Raw genomic sequence first — 23381 nt, 5'->3', positions numbered from 1 at the left:
ACAATTAACTCAACCAGACTATATGGCTTTTCTTGGAGTGGGAAAAAAATCTAATGAAGACTCTTTTCTTGCAGAACTTATTTTTGCAAGTAAATTAAATAAGTGATTCAAACATATTATTTTGAAGGTAAAAAATGGAATCTTATTCCATTGCCCATGATTCATCAAAAAATTAAAGTAAAAGTTATAAATGGAACATCATGGATGTAGCAATTAATAGTCTGCTTTTCCCTTTAAACAAATTCTCCATTGAGAAAGATTTCAACATAAAAATAAAATTAGGAAAAGATACTAAAGAAAGCATGAGGTATAAGACAATAATCTCTTGAGTGAGAATGGTTTGACTAAAACCATTTTTTAAAAGATGGATGAATTCAACTATATATAAATAAAAAGTCTAAGTACCTAAAGAAACAAGCAAGCAAAGTCAAAGCACAGCCAATAAATTGGAAGAAAGCATCTGCAATACAAATTATAAAAGGCTAATTTCATAAAATGTGTAAGCTCAGGAAAATCAATATAGAAAAATGGGCAAAGGTCATAGACAGATAAGAAAAAAAAGGAGTACAGACAAAAATACAAATTCATTTTTTAAAACGAAAGGAAAAACAAGAAGATGCTGATTTTCATTTATCAGATGAGAACAAATTTTAAGAGTTTAATAATATGAGGAAATGGGCACTCATACTTTCAGGTGAGAATTTCACTTGGTACAGTCCCTATGGAGAGTCACTGGGCAATACCTGTTAATATTTTCAATACATGTAAGTATCATCCCTGTATTCTACTTTTAAAGTTATCATTCACATATATTCAAACAAATGCACAAAGAGGGAGCTAAAAACAATTCACTATAGCACAACTTGTAATAGCAAAAAAACTGGAAATAATCTAAATTCCCATCAATAGAGATTGCTTAAATAAATCATGGTGCATCCCTAGAATGGAATGCTAAATACAACTATAGAATAGTATCCAAGACATCTTGTTACAAGGAAAAGGCAAGATACAGAGCAGAGTGTAAAATATGCTATCATTGCAGGTCTGTTTTTAGACTGTATATATATATGATAATATGTATACATAATATCTCAGGAAACACAAATAACTGATAGCTGTGTTAGGACTGAGGGGCAACATTTATTTTCATTGTCTATTTGTTGACGCCTTTTGAATTTTTTTTTTTTTTTTTTTTTTGAGACGGAGTCTCGCTCTGTCACCCAGGGTGGAGTACAGTGGCTCGTTCTTGGCTCACGGCAAGCTCCGCCTCCTGGATTCACACCATTCTCCTGCCTCAGCCTCCCGAGTAGCTGGGACTACCAGCGCTCACCACCACGCCCGGCTAATTTTTTGTGTTTTTAGTAGAGATGGGGTTTCCCCGTGTTAGCCAGGATGGGCTCGATCTCCTGACCTCGTGATCCGCCCGCCTCGGCCTCCCAAAGTGCTGGGATTACAGGCGTGAGCTGCCGCGCCCGACCGCCTTTTGAATTTTTTTTGTACCAAGTGCATATATTACCTACTTTGAAAATTAACTAAAATTGGGTGGGGGAGAATTTGTAAATACATGCAGATGCTTGATCAACTTCACAATTTGTGTACAACATAATTTTCTAGGAAGATTAAAGAACAGCCTGAAAAACTTGAGACTAAACATAGTAGCCATAGATCTCAGAGTGCACATCTGGGTAAGTAAACTATGTCAAGAGAGCAATAGAATTTTATAAATCTGAATCTCAGCTACCTTTCTCTTGTGTGCAGTTGTGTCTAAGTTCCAGGGAGCTGACAAAGTATTGAGATATTGGCAGGGAGGAGGGAATAGAGCAGATGTAGTGTTGGAATCACTTCTCTACACAGACATACACTGAGAAATCTACAATCCCAATTGGTCTTCCATCATCAGCCCACACAGCTTAGCAAGAAGTTGTTCTTATTCCTGTCCGAATGGGCATTTCAGGATCTCCATTTCCTCTGCTTCTTCAGCACCACACTAAGAGTGGAACAGGATTCTTTTTGCTCCTGTTTTCATGTCACACTAAAGAATATGACTCTCTTTTGGGAGGTCGAGGCTGGCAGATCACTTGTGGGTCAGGAGTCCGAGACAAGCCTGGCCAACATTGTGAAACCCCATCTCCTCTAAAAATACAAAATTAGCTGGGTGTGGTGGCACGTGCCTGTAGTCCCAGCTATTCAGGAGGCTGAGGCAGAATTGCTTGAACCTGGGAGGCGGAAGTTGCAGTGAGTTGAGATCGCACCACTGAAATCCTGCCTGGGTGTCAGAACGAGACTCCATCTCAATAATAATAATAATAATAATAATAATAATAGAATATGACTTTCTTTGAGGCTGACACGGCATTATCATCCAGGGGCAGGATGCCCAAGTCATATCACCCACCCATACCCAAGCTTCTCTAAAGTCTGGCACCATGCCTTGTCTGTCAGCCTGGAGGCAAGAGACAAGGACCCTCTCTCTGGGACCTCCTAGACTCCCCATTTTCATTAATTCTCCTCTATATAACCTCATTCCTCTCAGCCCCAGGGAATCTTTTTCTTTTCTGGTAAAGTAAGTAAAAGCCATATTATTTCTCAATGTTTCTCAGAAACATTTTATCTATATTCTCAATCTTCTAACTTCAGCTAAAGCTTAGACTTTTTGAACACCTGCTTTTTTCTACCACATTATATCATTTACCTTTGAAATGGATCTCAGGGCCAACTCTCCTCTTGAAAGCAGAGATTCTAAACAAATAAGAACATAAGTTAGTGTTCAGTATTAAATATTGATCTGCCTCAAATACAATAGAAGACATTTAAAGTGGTAGGATCTTAGAGTTAGATACTTAGGTTCCCAAATTCTGACCTTCCATTTATTGGCTATGTGATCTCGGGCAAGTTGCTGAATGTTTCTATGTATCAGTTTCCTCATTAATAAGATGGAAATAATAACAGTACCTTTCTCATAGCATTGTCATAAAGACTTGATGAGTTCATAAGTGAGTGCCTACTAGGTAGTATGGGCTCCATAAATGTTAGCCACTATTGTTTTTAGTCATAATAGCAGCACCATTTTGTATAATCATTATGTTAAGTTTTTACATCTCTATTCTAAAACATCACTGGTTGTTCATTGCCCCTGCTGTAGTGTATTATAGCAAATTTTCATCCCCATATGGGCTTACAAAGAACTATTTGAGAGAGAGGTGTTAGAGTTGAAGATAAAGGCTAATGCTCTGGGTGGTTTCAGAGAACAGATGTAGAAGACAGACTGCAGAACGCAGAAGAGACTCTTGTCTCTTACTCCTACTCAGTGAAAGCTTCCTGTGTCCAAGGTAGATGGCATAGTAAGAATGGGTAGAAATGTCATACCACTTACCAGCTCAACCCCACATTCCTCCTCAGGGCCCTTTCCATATTTCACTATTAGAAACTCCTCTAGAATTTTGTCAAACATGCCTTTTTTTAATTATTTTTTAATTTTTTAATTTTTTTTTTTTTTTGAGATGGAGTTTTATTCTTGTTGCCCAGGCTAGAGTGCAATGGCATGATCTCGGCTCACTGCAACCTCTACCTCCCAGGTGCAAGCAATTCTCCTGCCTCAGCCTCCCAAGTAGCTGGGATTACAGGCACCAGCCACAGTGCCTGGCTAATTTTTTGTATTTTTAGTAGAGATGGGGTTTCACTATGTTGGCCAGGCTGGTCTGGAACTCCTGACCCCAGGTGATCCACCCGCCTTAGCCTTCCAAACTGTTGGGATTACAGGCGTGAGCCACTGCGCCCGGCTCAATATGCCTATGTTTTAATGCTACTACAACTTCATATTTCTTCTCATGTTTTCATAAATAAAGAGGAGATAATAATAATTTCATGAATAATTATTGGGAGATGAATTCCTCCCCAACCCTCCCAGTTAGGAGAATGTATATGGAAGCAATTGTTACAACCTGAAAATGTTCACTGATGAACTAAATACCTGTGAAATTATTTTCCTCTCAATATCCCTCATGTAATACACTGACATCTACCCTCACGGAAAGTCAATCTTTATAACATTTAACAACACAAAGCACACAGACTGAAGAGTGAAATTTAAGTCTTGCAATATGAAAAAGACAAGATAGACACCTCAAAAAGGATAATTTGAATATAAAAATATGAAATGAGGCCCTCAGGAAAATCTATGAAGCCAATGAAATTTTTTTCAAAAACTGACTCTACATGATCACATCAAGAAAAATCAAAAACATAAAGAGAAGAATGTCATATTCTACTGTCATACCATTTGTCAGAAAATGTATGCCAAAGTCAACATCTGATTTATTCCTTGTTTTAAATCAATGCATAGTTACAAGCTAAATTTTATAAAGAGAAATAAAATAAACTTGTTTTAATGATTTTTGCTTTATTTGCTAATGCCGTAATGAAACCTTTTATTAACTATATACCGTAAAATTTTTATCCCCATTTAAAATGGATGCCTATTAAAAGTAGGCTTTTTCTAGTGCCTATTTTGTGCTTATCATTGGGACTTATTGCATAACAAAAGCAGAACCCAAGGACTTTCAAACTCAAATGTTAAGTTCTATTCCTTGTTCTCAGTTGAGAATCCCACACGAAATGAGAGTCTTCATTATCTTTCCAAACCTCAGACAACAGTATGCATAATAAGGTACCATGCGTTCAACTTTTGAAAAATGGGTTCAATTTTACAGTCTTAAATTATAAGAATGGCCTTGAAGCCATAATATTTGGAAGAAACATTAGATATAACATCATAAAGCTACTTACCATTAAGTTGGTTGCTACTGTATATAGCTCAAATATCCATACTTTAAATTTATATGTATGGAAAACACAGATTATAAGATTAGCACTCACTATAGCTTTCTGACTGGATCTAAGCCTACAGCAGATATAGATTTTTCCCCCACACACTATCTCCATTAACAGAGACAAATAAATAAATAAATCTAGGCAAGTTGCTTTGATTAAAACCATATATTCAGAGTATGCCTTGCAGGATAGTTCTGCTGGGCTAACCATACCTCTGAGGGCCAGACATCACAGCATGTGTCTCTGATTCATATACTTCCCTGTGGATGACCCAGGGAAAGGTTCAACGTAGAAAGAAAGATGGCTCAATCTTTCTCAAGTCCTGAGGAAAAACAGGGGGAGTTTGTTCATGGAGCTAGTCACCTTTTAGGACGTGAAAACAACCAGACTCCATGGCTTCTGGCATAGTCCACTCTTCTCAGATTTCACCATCTAGAATTTAACATCTTTATCAAAAACACCTTTTTCTAGATTCAATAACAATTAAACTAAAGTACTATGGTAATGTTGGAATTGAGATTGTCTCCAATATTACTGTCTAAGACTCCATGACTAATATGGCAGAAGATCATAAGTGAAACTAAAATAAAGAATCTAAGGCTAATGTGCTTAACCTGGGGTCCCAGAGTAAAATTTGAGAGATTCATGGTCATGGGAGGGAGGAAAAGATACATTTTTTACCAAACTCTAACTTGACATTTTTCTTAATTCTAAATAAAGTTAATAAACCACCATAATATTAGCAGCATCTATGACTTAGTCACCAACAGAAATCACAAATATTTTCATACCACCCTATAGTTGCAATGTATATCTAAAAAATAACATTTACATTTATCTCTATTTCAAAATTATAGTAGTAGCTAATCTGTTGCTAAAATTGCATGTGCTTATAGTCTTCTTGCTATAGATGCTCAGTGTAACGTGGGTAACCAACTATTGAGGAACTCTGTACTCCATAGTCACTTAGCCACCACATCTCCCACCTCTCACATGGGGGACCCAGATCCATGCTGCTTTCCAGTATCTCCTATCTATAATTATTGATCCATCATTGAAAGTGGTGAGTCTTTAATAAATCAAATTAATTGTAACTAGCTATAGTCAGCCTTCCATATTTGTGGGTTCCGCATCCATGGATTCAACCAACCACAGCTGGGGGAAAAGTGGATAGTTGATGTGGCAAGAATCCGTTGGTCAGAAAAAATATAAATACAAATATATTTTTAAGTGGATGGTTACATCTGTATTGAATATATATGGACTTCTTTCCTGTCATTATTCTCTAAGTAATACTGTATAACAACGATTCATATAGCATTTGCATAGGATTAGCTATTACAAGTAATCTAGAGATGATTTAAAGTGTACAGGAGGATGTACATAGGTTATATGCAAACACTGCACCATTTTATGCAAGGTACTTGGGTATCTATGGATTTGGGTATTTGAGAGGTTTCCTGGAACCAATCCCCCACAGATACCAAGGTAAAACTGGAGAGTACTCACTTTGGTAGCACACATACAAAGTGCTATGGAGATACAGAATGGAGAGTTTGGCTCTGCCAGGGGAGGTTAGATTTGGTTCACAGGGAAGGTATTCCCAGAGCTAGCTCTTAAAGAAAGAGGCTTGAAGAAAACACAACATACACTATACTCAATGATACATTGGTAGAAATATTTTCTGTGCTGAAAAAGACATATGTTTAAGGTTAAAGTGGCTCTGAAATCATCCAGAGAGAGAGAAACAAAAAGTATGCCTACATAAGAATAAAATTTAAACTAGTTGACTTATAGTAAAACATAAAAGATAGAACTTAATCTTGACTCATTCCTCCTGAAACCTCACCAAAATGGCACTAAAGGATTTTAAGATATAAACCCACAGGTAAAAAGAGAATAGCAGAAGAGATAAAGAAATTCAAATTTAGAAACAAGAAAGCAGATGGACAAGTAAAACTCCCTAGCAAACCAGAGAAAGGTGAAAACAAACTGGCCATGAAGGAAGAGCAGAACTAAGCTGATTTGGACTGCAAACTCCAAGAGGGCCTGAGGAATTGGAAACCTCAGGTATCCCAGAAAGTGACTATGAAGGTGAAGCTGAAAATGGGTGAACTGATGGCAAGTCTGAATAAGAAACAATAGGATTCCTAGCTCTCCAGTTCACTCCACATCTGGGTGAATACTCTTCCCCCACCTTGGAAGAAGGTTGAAGGCTTTCTTCTCTTGCATACTGAACCAGACTTAGTAGCACCAGGCTTATAGAGAATTGAGATAAGGTGTGCTACTAAAAGAAAAAAAAAAAAACTGGGAAAATGTTGGAAAGTATATCGTGAATGGTGATATTTGGGAGCCTCCATTTCCAACTTGATTCCCAGAATACTGGTAGCAAAGATTTTAACTCTCAGGCAGGGGACTGAACGAATATTGCTCTGGGAAAATTAAACCACTGAAGATTGTGTGTGTGTGTGTGTGTGTGTGTGTGTGTGTGTGTGTGTGTGTGTGTATTTCTTTGGGAGACTTCCAAAGGTAGGAAGTCTCCCAAAGAAATGGCCCATTTCTATAACCAAACATGAAGCACACCATTTAAAACCTACACACAAACACAAAACCTCTTAGCTCTAAAGTGTGCTGGGACTACCAAGAGCAGCAGACATGTAAGGAAAGACTCTAACATTAAAGAGAAAAAAACAGAAGCAAACCAAGAGGCAGAAGGAGAAACTTGGAGGAAAGGAATCCATTCTAAAAGCAGAATAAAATCTCAGAAATATAATTAATATCTTCCATAAGATACTACATCCATGAGCAAAAACAAAATATAAAAACAAAGTTCTTAGGGATTAAAAGTATGGTAGGATAAATGAAAACTCAGTGGAAGGGTTAGAAGATAAACTTGAAGAAGTCCCTAGGAAGTAAACTAAAAGATGAAGAGTCATTTAATCTGTTTAGCAGCAACAGATAATTAAATCATTTTTTAAAAAGACAAAAAGCTGAAAAACAGGAGAAAAAGAAGAGAAAAATTAGAGGATCAGCTCAGGAGCTCCAGGAGATGACCAAATAATAGTTTACAGAATAAAGAACAGAAAAAAAAAATGGTGAAAAGATTATCAAAGAAAAAATACAAAAGAAATTCTCAAAGCTAAAGAGCACTAGTTCACAGTGGGAAGAAATTACTGAGTCTCTAAAAAAAATGAATATAACCGGACCCACACCAAAGCAAATAGTTATGAAATTTTATGCTGACAGAGACACACAGAAGTTCCTAAATTTATCCAGAGGTAATAGTTCTTATGCATAAGATGAGGGATCCCAGTGGTATTGAATTTCTCAGTAGCAACACCTGGAAGACAAATTGTATGTCTTCAAAACTGTGAAAAAAACACATTCTATTATTGAACTACATATTACTTCATATCCATTACTGAATATGTACTTTAGCTGTATGACAAAGGGCAAAGTATTAGAATCAACATCCAGCCAAAATCAAATGTCACTATCATAGAATAAACTTCTGAGCTACAAGATTAAGTTGAAATTTTATCTTTCAAAAGTAAAAGCTATTACAATTTTATTAAAGGTTTTAGTAATCTTTAAAAAAAATTTAACATGCATGAAGAATTTCTCAATATAATTTTGCAATTAGCTACTAAATTGCTCCTCTAGCCACTACAGTTCCCATATGAAAGGCCCGAGGCTCATTTTCAGGTGAAGTCAATGGAGAAGCAAGCTATATTTTAGCTAACTCTGCTGACACAAAGTACTATTGTGGTAATGTCGCCACCAAGTTATTAGGTTCTCCTTTCTCTCTAATGGTAGCTAAGGAAAAGATTATATTGACTTAAACTCCTGGACTCGAAGATTTGGTCAAAAATGAACCAATTTTATTAAAATAGTCTCACAAGTTAACTATACTGCTTTAAGATGCTTTTGAAATATTTCCAAAATGCACTTAAGATTGTTGTCCTCCCTTATACTTTAATTTCAAATATTTTCATCTACATACTTCTATTTCACACAATCGCCTACAAAACCTTGTCCTTGATCTTAGATTAAGACTGGGAATAAAACCATGTAACTGAATACCAAGATAGTAAAACCACCTCTGAATTTTTTCTGCATACCAGCTTTCATTGCATGCCCATCAGTTTCAGCATCCACACCTGGAGTAGAATTATACAAGATCCTTAAAGCAAGTATAAAGTGAAAAATATGTGCATTATCAAGATACAACATGTTAGTATTCAGTCTTGTTATGCTGGTTTAGGATTTTCAAAGATTTCAATTAAGTCTTTCTTCTGTACAAGGGCATGCCACCATGCCCAGCTAATTTTTGTATTTTTAGTAAAGACAGGGTTTCACCGTGTTGGCCAGGTTGGTCTGAACTCCTGACCTCAGGTGATCTGCCTGCCTAGGCCTCCCAAAGTGCTGGGATTACAGGCATGAGCCACCAAGCCCGGCCAGCCTTTTTAATATAACAGGTCCTATTCAACCTTATTTGTCCATCTTATATAAGTTCCATATTCAAACTTCTTGTATATTAAAAGGAGTTCCATATTTATACTTCTTGTATATCATATAGTTCCCTTCTATAAAAAGAGTGATAAAAGTAGACCATATTTATGCTTTCAACAAGAATTTCTTTTTTAATGTACTATAATTATTTTCACACAAATGAAGGGTATAAACAAAACTTTATGTGATTCCTAAATCACTCACATTCTTCATTATATTTCTTCTACTGTCAGTAACAACATAAGACAACTTAAATGAATGATTTTTCCAGAAAATTATAAATTCTTAAAGCCAAATCAAAAATAAGTAAAATAAAAATCTAGGCCAGATGCGGTGGCTCCTACCTGCAATCCCAACACTTTGGAAGGCTAAGGTAAGAGGATTGTTTGGGCCCAGGAGTTCGAGACCAGCCTGGGTAACATAGGAACACCTGTCTCTACAAAAATTTTTTTAAAAAAATAGCTGACAGTGGGGTGCATGCCTGTAGTCCCAGCTACTCGGGAGGCTGAGGTGGGAGGATTGCTTGAGCCCAGGATGTCAAGGCTGCAGTGAGCTGTGATCATGCCACTGCACTCCAGTCTAGGCAATAAAGCAAGACCCTATCTCAAAAAAAATCTAAACATACCAATAATCATACAGTAAATTAGAAAAGATGACCAGAAATTACTCAGTGATATACTAAACTCTTGAGAGTGGATTGCATGCATGTCTTCCCAACTCTGTTTTCAGCGACATCACATTTATAGCTTGAAATCTACCATGATGGGAATATTTACATCACAGAAATTGGCAACGGCTACAAAACAAGGTTTTTTCTTTTCAGAGACCTAGTTGTTGAACATTTACCAGCATATTCCTGGAATTAATCCTCTATCCAAAGTAGCTCAGGTCCAGTGGTTTCCCAGTAAAGTTCTGGCAAACATTCAAGAACAAGTGATTACTGTATTACAATGCTTGCTATTTATATTTAAATTATTTTTCACATAATCTTCACATTCTTAATTTTACAGCAAAACTCTTTGAACAAGTTCTTCATACTCTCTGTCTTCAATCCTCCCCATCCCCACGTTTATTTTGAATCCATTCCAATCAGGCCTTCATTCCCAGCACTCTACTGGAACTGCTTGTGTCAAGACCATTTTGACCCCAGTGTTTGACAAATCCAATGGTGAGTCCACATTCTTATCTCACTCGACCAATTAGCACTATTTTACACAGTTGAATATTACCTTTTCCCTAAAATATATTCTTCTCTAGGTCATTACACTCTACTAGTTTTGCTCCTATCTACTTGCTGTTTCTGAGTTTGCTAATTTTTCCTGATCTTCCTGATATTTTAAAGCTGCCCAGGGGCTCAGCCCTTATCTCTTCTCTCAATCTATACCAAATCCCTAGAAGATCTCATTCACTTCAAAACTTTATATGAATTATATATGCTGGTGAATCTCAAATGTATGACTCCAGCATGGACCTCACCCTTGAACTCCAAATTCATGTATTCAACAGTCTATCACACCTCACTATCTGTTTATCTAATAGACATCTCAGATTTAACATGTCTAGATATATAGTTTATGCCATGATGAAATAATTCATATAATATTTATCCTCCTACAACAAACAACTCTAAAATTCAACAAAAATAAATAAATAAATGGCCTTCAGACACTGGAAGAAAACAGTACAGGTGCAATTCTTGAGAGAAGAAAAAAATCCATAAGGTAAACTTCATGTTCTCCCTGGTTTTTTGCCTGTGGGCACCTTATGAATAGTAGCACAGAGAAGTAGATCACAAATAGAGAGCAGATATCTTGCCTAATAGAGAAAGCAAAGTGAAATGTGTGAGGCAAGTTAACAGAGAAGAGAGAGCTGCATAGAATTATAGTCCCATTTGTTTGTATAGAGATCCACTTTAGTATCTGCATGAATATTAAGCTATGCATGCACAGAGCAAGACTCCAAGAGATCGGTTAGGGAACAACTACTAAAAGACTGTGAGATTAATGCAAACTTCACAGCTCTTACAATGCCGAAGATGTTCAATTTTTGATAAGCCAGAATGAAGAGATTTGGGAATACCTTGGACATTTAGTTTGGATCCCAGAAAGGGTATTTCTTAAGTGAAGAGTTACTCTATCACTAGATTAAGGGCTATTCCAGACCCACCCAGAGAAAGCTTAAAATCAAGTAGGATAAAGATGACTGAATATATTTCCTGCCATCCACAACAAAACTCAACCTTGCTTAATGGAATACATGCTCTTGGCATACTCTATCAAATTTGTAACAACATAGCATCATAAATGTCCAGCATACAATAAAAATTACTAGACATATGAAGAAGCAGGAAAACAAGAGCCAAAAACAGGAGGAAAAAGTCAGTGGAAGCCCAGAGATGGCACTAATGTTGGAATTAACCGACAAGGACTTTAAACATGTTCAAGTATTAAAGACAAAGATGATTGTAGTAAGTAAACAGATACAGACACTGAAAAGAGAATAAAACTTGGGTGGAGAAAGGAATGAAAATTCTAGAACTAAAAAACTTATCTGAAATGAAAATTTCACCTAATAGCCTTAATACTAGAGTATACATTGCCAGAGAAAGATTAGCTTTGGAGATTAGACAAAAGAACTACCCAATCTAAAGCATAGAAAGAAGAAATTTAGATTAGAAAAGTGAACACAGCCTCAGTGGCCTGTGGAACAATATTATATAATCTAACAAATATGTAATTAGAGTTCTAGAGGGAGAGGAAAAAGATATCAGAGGGGGAAATTTAAAAAACACTATAGTCTCATATTTTCCAAGAAGTTTAACTAATCAGATAAACACAAATAAAACCACACATGGACACACTACAATAAAACTGCTGAAAGACAAGGAGTGAGAGAAAATGTTAAAAGGGCACAGAAGGGGTAAAAGACATATTACATACAGGTGAGCAACAGGAATGATTGCTGTCTTCTCATCAGAAACAGTACAAGCCAGATGACAATAAAATGTGACATATTTAAAGTACTGAAAACATAATCAACAAGAATTCTATATTCAGAAAAAAAGTTTTGATATTGAAGGCAAAACAAATATATTTAGATTTTTTTAATCTGAGAGAATTCATAAATAGGGGCAAGACCTGAACCTTAGGCTTAAGAAAAAGGATACTGGCTGGGCACGGTGGCTCATGCCTGTCATTCCAGCACTTCGGGAGGTGGAGGTGGGCCGATCATGAGGTCAAGATATCAAGACCATCCTGGCCAACATGGTGAAACTCTGTCTCTACTACAAATACAAAAATTAGCTGGGCATAGTGGTGCATGCCTGTAGTCCCAGCTACTCAGGAGGCTGAGGAAGGAGAATCGCTTGAACCCAGGAGGTGGAGGTCACAGTGAGCTGAGATCACACCACTGCACTCCAGCCTGGTGACAGAGCAAGACTCCATCTCAAAAAAAGAAGAAAAAAAAAAAAAAGAAAAGGAAAAGGATACCATGCAGAAACTTGTATCTACGAGGAATGAAGTATACTGGGAAAAAAAAGGGTAAATATAAATGACTCTCATTTCTCAATTTATTTAAAAATTGGCTAAAGCAAATATAAAAGTGTTTCATTGTATTTGTAACATATGTATAACAAACAGAAAGACATAATCTAAAATGTGTATGCAATCAATAGCAAGCCAAGATAAATGATGCAGAAACTGGCAAAACTAAAGAAATAAATGTACAAGTTCCTACATCCAGTATGATATTTTAACACTACTCCCAGAAATCAATTTTCTAAAAGTTGGTATGATTAGAAAAAGATCTCAGTCCATTATTGGAAGGGTAAAAAAGATTAGAAAAAGATTTGATCAATATTATGACCAATTGTACTTTCCAAAAATGTTCTCAGCAAGATTTACTGTCCCACAAACTCTTCCAGACCTAGTCATACCCTCATTAAGAGGTGAAGTCTATATCCCCTCTCTTTGTCAAAATGGACAGTACTCTGTGACCACCAAAACAAATGGAACACAGCAGAAGTAGGGCTGCATGACTTCCAAGACTAGGTCAAAAAGTTGATACAGTTTCTACTTGGCTCTGTCTCTCTCGTGACATGAAACTTAGGAGCTCTAAGCCAGTCGCTTCCCCAAAGCCATTGCAGAGGCCATATAAAGAGATCATTTTAAAACAGAGAGAGATTCCCAGCTTATAGCCTTTAATTCAGCACAAACTAGCTGACACTGAGTGGAGTCTGCCTTTGAGATACTCCAGCTGATGCTGAATGTAACATAACTAAACTGTTACCACCAAGACTTGCCAAAATAGCAGAATTTTGAGCCAAATAAATGCTGTTGTTTTAATCTACTATTTGGGGGACATTTGTTACATAGCAATAGATAACTGAAACAATCATTATCAACCAATACTATCTGATTGACATTTATAGAACACTATAACCAAACAACTACAGAATACATAATCCTTCAAGTATTCATGGTACATTAATCAACATAGGTCATATATTGGGCATAAATTTAAAAGGATTAATACCATACTAAATTAGAAATTAATAAAGGAACTAAGTTAAAAATCAATAACAAAAATATATCTTGAAAAAAATACCCCAAATATCTGAAAATTAAGCAACACAGTACTAAAGGATCCAAAATCAAAGAAGAAATCATGAAAGACATTTTAAAATACCTTGAAATAAATGAAAATGAGAACAAAACATAATAAACATTATGAAAGGCATCTAAAGAAGCACGTAGAAGGTAATTTGTAGCTTTACTAGCTTACTTCAGAAAAAAGGAGAAAGGTTGAAAACTCTTAAATTCCCTCAAAACTCTACAAAATTAAACCTAAAGGATGAAAATGTAGGCAACTAAAAAATAAAATAATGGAAATCAATGAAATAGAACACAAACAAGAGAAAAATTAATAAAACGAAAAGCTAGTTTTTTGCAAAGTTTAATAAACCTGGTAATATCTTACCAAGACTGACCAAAAAATAAAAGGGGAAAAAAAAGAAAAAGAAAGAGAGCATCTGGAATGAAGGAAGGCACATCACTATAGATGATGCAAATAGTTAAATAATAATAAGGGAATATTATTAACAGCTAAATGCCAATTAATTTGACAAGTCAGAAGAAATGGGCAAATTCCTTGAAACACGTAAATTACAAAACTGACACAGGAAGATAGTTAAGAAAAAAAAAAAACAGAATACTCCTCTAAGGTAGTCCCCTTTAATCCACTGGGCATACATTGCAACACCCTCAGGGAATGCCTGAAACCATAGACAATATCAAACCCTACACATACTATGGTTTTTCATATACATGCATACCTATGATTAAGTTTACTTTATAAATTATCCACAGTAAGAGATTAACAACTTCTCTTTGACATATATTTGACTTCTCTTTGGTATATCCTAATTGCCAGCATCACTATGCTCATGCTTTGGGGTTATTATTAAGTAAAATAAGGGTTATTTGAACACAAGCAATGTGACACCATCACAGTCAATCTGATAAGAGAGGGATAGTAAGTGGCTAATGGGTAGGTGTCATATATAGTACTGACAGCTGGACAAAGGGCTGTTTCACATCCTGGTGGGACACAGCAGGATGGCAACAGATCTCATTATGATACTCAAAATGGTGTGTGATTTGAAACTTACGAATTGTTTATACCTGAAATTTTCCATTTAACATTTTCTGATCACCGTTGACCATGTTCATGTTCCACTGAAACTGCAGAAAGTGAAACCATGGGTAAGGGAGGACTACTGTATCTGTAAAAGATATATTGAATTTGTAATTAAAATTCTTTACATAAAATAAATTCCAGGCCCAGATGGCTTCAATGGGGAATTCTTTTAAACTTTGAAAGAAAAATTAATCCTAGTCTAATGTGAGATCTTTCAGAACATAGAAGAGGAGGGAATTCATTGTATGAGACAAGCACACCGTAATACTAAAACTAGATAAGAACCTTGCAAAACATGGAAAATTACAGACCCACATCTCTCATGCTTATTGTCTCAAAATATCTTCACAAAAAATTAGCATATCAAATCAGAAAATATATACAAAGAATAGTACCTCATGAGCAAGTGGGGTTTATCTCAGAAATGCAACGTTGATTTAGCATTCAAAATTAAATCAACATAATTCACCACATTAACAGAATAAAATGGCCACCTCACTAATTACCTCAATAGAAGCAGAGAAAGCAGTTTATAAAATTAACACTGTTTCCTGATTTTACAAAAACTCTCAGTAAAGAGTAATAGAAAGACACTCCTGTATATTTGCATTCATCTCCTAACTTTAGCCTTTGTACCTGTAAAATCTATTCTCAAAAGAACAACAAAGTTATCTTGTTAAGACATAATCAGATTAATTTCATTCTTTGGTCCAAAACATCATGTGGCTCCAAATTTTGCTCTGCATTTTAATTGGAAAGATAACTTAGTTATGTGTATAATCTCTAGAGCAAGTGCTAAAAAATACAGAGATATAGAACACAAGTGAATAGAGAAATCAAAAATAGACTATCAGAAAAGGACAGCAGGTAAAAAGAATAGAAGACAAAACCAGAGAGGATAAGTAAAATAATAATAATAGTAATAATATAAAGGTAGATCTAAATGCAACCAAACCAATAGTTACTTTAAAGGCAAATAATTGACACACCAATTTAAAAAAATGATTAGATGGGAATTTAAATTAAAATACTTTTTAAAAAACACTTAATTGTATGAATTTATTTGTGCGTGTGTGTGCGTGTGTGTGTGTGTGTGTGTATTATACATTAAGTTCTGGGATACATGTGCAGAACGTGCAAGTTTGTTACATAGGTATACACGTGCCATGGTGGTTTGCTGCACCCATCAACCCATCATCTACATTAGGTATTTCTCCTAATCCTATTCCTCCCCTTGCCCCCCACCACCTGACAGGCCCCAGTGTGTGGTGTTCCCCTCCCTGTGTCCATGTGTTCTCATTGTTCAGCTCCCACTTATGAGTGAGAACATGTGTTTGGTTTTCTGTTCCTGTGTTAGTTTGCCAAGAATGATGGTTTCCACCTTCATCCATGTCCATGCAAAGAACATGAACTCATCTTTTTTATGGCTGCATAGTATTCCATCGTGTATATGTGCCACATTTTCTTTATCCAGTCTATCATTGATGGGCATTTGGGTTGGTTCCAAGTCTTTGCTATTGTGAACAGTGCTGCAATAAACATACGTGTGCATGTGTCTTTATAGTAGAATGATTTATAATCCTTTGGGTATATACCCAGTAATAGGATTGCTGGGTCAAATGGTATTTCTGGTTCTAGATCCTTGAGGAATTGCCACACTGTCTTCCGTAATGGTTGAACTAATTAACCCTCCCACCACCAGTGTAAAAGCATTCCTACTTCTCCATATCCTCTCCAGCATCTGTTGTTTCCTGACTTTTTAATGATTGCCATTCTAACTGGCGTGAGATGGTACAGCATTGTGGTTTTGATTTGCATTTCTCTAATGACCAGTGATGATGAGCTTTTTTTCACAAGTTTGTGGGTTGCCTAAATGTCTTCTTTTGAGAAGTGTCTGTTCATATCCTTTGCCCAATTTTTGATGGGGTTGATTTTTTTTCTTATAAATTTGTTTAAGTTCCTTGTAGATTTTGGATATTACCCTTTGTCAGATGGATAGATTGAAAAATTTTCTCCCATTCTGTAGGTTGCCCGTTCACTCTGATAGTTTCTTTTGATGTGCAGAAGAAGCTCTTTAGTTTAATTAGATCCATTTGTCAGTTTTAGCTTTTATTGCCACTGCTTTTGGTGTTTTAGTCATGAAGTCTTTGCCTATGTCTATGTCCTGAATGGTATTGCTTAGGTTTTCTTCTAGGGTTTTACGGTTTTAGGTTTTATGTTTAAGTATTTAATCCATCTTGAATTAATTTTTATATAAGGTGTAAGGAAGGGGTCCAGTTTCAGTTTTCTGCATAGGGCTAGCCAGTTTTCCCAACACCATTTACTAAATAGGGATTCCTTTACCCATTGCTTCTTTTTGTCATGTTTGTCAAAGATCAGATGGTTGTAGATGTGTGGCATTATTTCTGAGGCCTCTGTTCTGTTCCATTTTTCTATATATCTGTTTTGGTACTAGTACCAGGCTGTTTTGGTTACTGTAGCCTTGTAGTATAGTTTGAAGTCAGGTAGCATGACGCCTCCAGCTTAGACTCCCACACAATAATAGTGGGAGACTTTAACACCCCACTGTCAATATTAGAGAGATCAATGAGACAGAAAATTAACAAGGATATTCAGGACTTGAACTCAACTCTGGACCTAGAGAACCTAATAGACATCTACAGAACTCTCCACCCCAAATCAACAGAATATACATTCTTCTCAGCACCACATCACACTTATTCTAAAACTGACCACATAATTGGAAGTAAAACACTCCTCAGCAAATGCAAAAGAATGGAAATCATGAAAAGCAGTCTCTCAGAGCACGGTGCAATCATATTAGAACTCAGGACCAAGAAACTCATTCGAACCTGCACAACTGCATGGAAACTGAACAACCTGCTCCGGAATGAATACTGGGTAAATAACAAAATTAAGGCAGAAATAAATAAGCTATTTGAAACCAATGAGAACAAAGACACAATGTACCAGGATCTCTGGAACACAGCTAAAGCAGTGTTTAGAGGGAAATTTATAGCACTAAGTGCCCACAGGAGAAAGCAGAAAAGATCTAAAATTGACACCCTAAGCTCACAATTAAAAGAACTAGAGAAGCAAGAGCAAACAAATTCAAAAGCTATCACAAGATAGGAAATAACTAATATCATAGCAGAACTGAAGGAGATGGAGGCACAAAAAACCCTTCAAAAAATCCATGAATCCAGGAGCTGGTTTTTTGAAAAGATTAACAAAATAGATAGACTGCTAGCCAGACTAATAAAGAAGAAAGAGAGAAGAATCAAATAGACACAATAAAAAATGATAAAGGGGATATCACCACTTATTCCACGGAAATACAAACTACCATTAGAGAATACTATAAACATCTCTATGCAAATAAACTAGAATATCTAGAAGAAATGGATAAATTCCTGGACACATACACTCTCCCAAGACTAAACCAGGAAGAAGTCGAATCCCTGAATAGACCAATAACAAGTTCTGAAACTGAGGCAGTAATTAATAGCCTACCAACCAGAAAAAAGCCCAGGACCAGACAGATTCACAGCCAAATTCTACCAGAGGTACAAAGAGGAGCTTGTACCATTCCTTCTGAAACTATTCCAAACAATAGAAGAAGAGGGACTCCTCTCTAACTCATTTTACGAGGCCAACATCATCCTGATAGCAAAACCTGGCAGAAACGCAACAAAAAAAGAAAATTTCAGGCCAATATCCCTGATGAACATCAATGCGAAAATCCTCAATAAAATACTGGCAAACTGAATCCAGCAGCACATCAAAAAGCTTATCCACTGTAATCAAGTTGGCTTCATCCATGGGACGCAAGGCTGATTCAACATACGCAAATAAACAAACATAATCCATCACATAAACAGAACCAATGACAAAAACCACATGATTATCTCAATAGATACAGAAAAGGCCTTCAATAAAATTCAACACCCCTTCATGCTAAAAACTCTCAATAAACTAGAATGTATCTCATTGATGGAATGTATTTCAAAATAATAAAAGCTGTTCATGACAAACCCACAGCCAATATCATACTGAATGGACAAAAACTGGAAGCATTCCCTTTGAAAACTGGCACAAGACAAGGATGCCCTCTCTCACCACTCCTATTCAACATAGTATCGGAAGTTCTGGCCAGGGCAATCAGGCAAGAGAAAGAAATAAAGGGTATTTAAATAGAAAGAGAGGAAGTCAAATTGTCTCTGTTTGCAGATGACATGACTGTATATTTATAAAACCCCATCGTCTTAGCCCCAAATCTCCTTAAGCTGATGAGCAACTTCAGCAAAGTCTCAGGATACAAAATCAATGTGCAAAAATCACAAGCATTCCTATACACCAATAATAGGCAAAGAGAGAGCCAAATCATGAGTGAACTCCCATTCACAATTGCTACAAAGAGAATAAAACACCTAGTAATACAACTTACAAGGGATATGAAGGATCTCTTCAAGGAGAACTACAAAACACTGCTCAATGAAATAAGAGAGGACACAAACAAATGGAAAAACATTCCATGCTCATGAATAGGAAGAATCAATATCGTGAAAATGGCCATACTGCCCAAAGTAATTTATAGATTCAATGCTATCCCCACCAAGCTACCATTGATTTTCTTCACAGAATTAGAAAAAACTACTTTAAATTTCATATAGAACCAAAACAGAGCCCATATAGCCAAGACAATCCTAAGCAAAAAAAATTAAAATTTTTTTAGATCCAACTTCGTGTGGTCTACACAAGCACTGCAAAACCATCACAATGTACTTTTACATTAAACATCAAAACGACAGTAAAACAATCAATTTATTCTACTATAATCAAGAATAAGTAAAGTATGCCTGCTAACTCTATTGTTAATTAACATTGTTCTGGGAAAGTTGGCCAGTGCAATTGAATAAGAAAGCAAGTTAAAAAGTATGAATATTGGACACGAGGAAAAACTAAGTTTGAAAATGGCATTACTATCTAGATATAAAACTCAAAAGAATAACCTGAAAAGCAACTAGGATTTGTAAGAAATATTTGTAGAGTAGTAATTACAAAATAAATAAAGCTCAATCTTTTCTTATATTTGGCAATAATGGATTGGAAAATAAATTGCATTCATAATAGCAAAACAATATATATCACCTAAGAGTTAAACTCATGAGAAATGTGCAGAACCTCTGTGAAGAAAACCACAATATTGTTGTTGAAGAACATAAAAGAAAACTTGTCTAAATGGAGAACTATATCATGTTACCAGCTAAGAAGACTTAATATTGTCAAGATGTTAATTCTTCCCAAATAAATAAATAAACTCAGTACAATCCCAGTGGGTTCGAGGATTTATTTCTGGAAACTCAACAAATGATTCCACAGTTCATCTGGAAGAATAATACATGAAACTAAGTAAGAGATTTTGAAAATTCTAGTAATGGTAGAGATTTGCCCTGCTAGAAAATAAAATGCATTAATATATAAAATAATGGTTAAAATGTTGCAGTGCTGCCATAAAAACAAGCAAACAATGAAATAAAATTTAAAGTTTAGAACTGTTTCTGTATAAACCTAAGATTAATGTGTTAGTAGTGGCATCTTAAATAAGTGGGGAAGAAGACATTACTCTATAAATGGTAATGAAATACATAACTAACAATTTTGGGAAAAATAAGCTAGATTAGTACTTTATACTATATTCAAAACAAATTCCAGACTTATTAAAGATTTAGGTACAAAAAATAAAACAACATTGAAACACTAAAGGAATATATACGTGGATATATAATTTTGCTGTGGTAAAGAAAATGAGTCCTAAAGTAGAAACCACAAGGGAAAATATTAAACTTGCTATAAAAATATATTTTCATTTGGTAAAAGATTACATTAAAATAAACTTGCAAATTACTAACAGAAAAATATATGCAACATATCTTTAAGAAAAAGCTCATATAAATCTATATGAAGTTGACAAAGGCATCAAAAGGAAACAATATTCACTAAAGGATAATAATGGAAAATTCCCAAAAGAAGATATAGCCCGGCCAGCCACCCCGTCCAAGAGGGAGGTGGGGGGCGCCTCTGCCCGGCCTCCCCATCTGGTAGGTGAGGGGCCCCTCTGCCCGGCCGCCACCCCGTCTGGGAGGTGTACCCAACAGCTCACTGAGAACGGGCCATGATGACGATGGCGGTTTTGTCGAATAGAAAAGGGGGAAATGTGGGGAAAAGAAAGAGAGATCAGATTGTTACTGTGTCTGTGTAGAAAGAAGTAGACATAGGAGACTCCATTTTGTTCTGTACTAAGAAAAATTCTTCTGCCTTGGGATGCTGTTAATCTATAACTTTACCCCCAACCCCGTGCTCTCTGAAACATGTGCTGTGTCAACTCAGGGTTAAATGGATTAAGGGCGGTGCAAGATGTGCTTTGTTAAACAGATGCTTGAAGGCAGCATGCTCCTTAAGAGTCATCACCACTCCCTAATCTCAAGTACCCAGGAACACAAACACTGCGGAAGGCCGCAGGGTCCTCTGCCTAGGAAAACCAGAGACCCTTGTTCACGTGTTTATCTGCCGACCTTCCCTCCACTATTGTCCTATGACCCTGCCAAATCCCCCTCTCCGAGAAACACCCAAGAATGATCAATAAATACTAAAAAAAAAAAAAAAAAAAAAGAAGAAGATATAATTATTTGTCCCCTAATAATTAAAAGTACAACTTAAGAGGTACACCTTGTTAGAATATCAAATAGGCAAAGTTCTCTCTATATATTAGTAAGTGTGTAGGAAAATAGTAACTCTGATATATGAGTAGAAGAGTATAGATTTGTATAATCTTTTTGAAATGCAGATTGGAATTCTTGAAATTTTGTAAATTTACCACTTAGAAAAATGAATCCTAACAAAATAATAATGGATTTCTCTAAATAAATACTCATGGTAGCTGATTAGGAAATGCCAAACTAAAGATGGCTCCACATAGTTTTCTTTACAAAATCAACTCAAACCAATGATGAAAACTAAAAAAGAAAAAAATAATAATTTTTGATAAAGTTATAACACATCTGTAACCTCGAACTACAATATTTGAGTAAGAGCTGCCAACAGGGAAGTTCAAACAGGAGTGCAGGGAAATACCTATAGACATCTGTGGCTGAGAATCTCAGCTAACTGGGAGGCCAAGGTGGGCAGATCACGAGTCAGGAGATCGAGACCATCCTGGCTAACAACGGTGAAATCCTGTCTCTACTAAAACTACAAAAAAATTAGCTGGGCATGGTGGTGGGTGCCTGTAGTCCCAGCTACCTGGGAGGCTGAGGCAGGAGAATGGCGTGGACCCGGCAGGCGGAGCTTGCAGAGAGCCGAGATCCCGCCACTGCACTCCAGCCTGGGTGACAGGGCGAGACTCCGTCTCGAAAAAAAAAAAAGTCTCAACTAAACCAGGTAGAGTACAGTTCAAAGTATGTGACACAATATGAGAGGCAAAACCACAAACCTTGTCTAGAACAATGAGAACAGGATGCCTGGTCTTTAGAGGGAGCTTATCTGGACCTTCTCTGAGCCCAGAGAACAGGCAGGGAAGGTGAGGCTGAACAAGGAAACACACACATTTCTGAGAAGCAGTGTATCCTTGAGGAAGGGTGAAGGAAATGGATCTGAATTATGAGTAATCCAGCAATTGCTGATTTCTTTGAACTAGAGAAAAACGAAGGTTAAAATAGTGTACATACACACACACACACCCCTGAGTCATAAGGAGCTTTACTGTGGAGGAGTTACTGCTTGCCTGGAACACTACTCTATTCTCTCCCCTGAAGGAACCTCTTGAAAATAACTGGAGGAATTAACCTCATTCACAAAAGAAATAACACAAAAAGAACCAGCCAAGGATCTATACAAAGTTACTTTCAGGAAAAGGAAGAAAAATGTGGGAAAAACAAGTGGCAGGTGATGAATACACACCAGAACAATATTGTCACTGCCCAGATAAAAATCATGACCAAATAAATATGGCCGTGAATACTAGGCACCTAATGAATCAAAAAGCTCAAAGCAGACAGCTGGAGGAGATGAAACATGAGCTGGCAGACTTGAAAAATAAATAGAAAAATAAATAAATAAAGCCATCCAAGAAATCAAGGCTACATTAAGCAGCACAAAGAGCCATCACTGAATTCATACTAAGGCACAAAAGAGCAGGATTGAGGAAAGCAAGCAAAATAATAGACATGGAAAACAGACCAAAAAAAAAAAAAATAGGGTGGTGGGGGGAACACACAATAAATAAAACATAAAATAAAATTTAACACATAATTTTGAAGAACCTATAGCTTAAACCGAAAATC

At 36.2% G+C, this 23381-nt stretch overlaps 2 annotated features.

Moving 5' to 3' along the window:
* Positions 22441-22641: a silencer, noted in NCBI's record as "peak1919 fragment used in MPRA reporter construct". NCBI's record gives its function as "represses an SCP1 promoter by STARR-seq MPRAs in K562 erythroleukemia cells {active_cell/tissue: K562}" and the evidence as "EXISTENCE:reporter gene assay evidence [ECO:0000049][PMID:32103011]".
* Positions 22961-23161: a silencer, noted in NCBI's record as "peak1918 fragment used in MPRA reporter construct". NCBI's record gives its function as "represses an SCP1 promoter by STARR-seq MPRAs in K562 erythroleukemia cells {active_cell/tissue: K562}" and the evidence as "EXISTENCE:reporter gene assay evidence [ECO:0000049][PMID:32103011]".

This window comes from Homo sapiens, chromosome 12 (genome assembly GCF_000001405.40).
Source record: "Homo sapiens chromosome 12, GRCh38.p14 Primary Assembly".
In the NCBI taxonomy this organism is placed as follows: domain Eukaryota; kingdom Metazoa; phylum Chordata; class Mammalia; order Primates; family Hominidae; genus Homo; species Homo sapiens.
The sequence above is the reverse complement of the archived record's forward strand: the minus strand, read 5'-3'. Positions and strand labels throughout refer to the sequence as shown.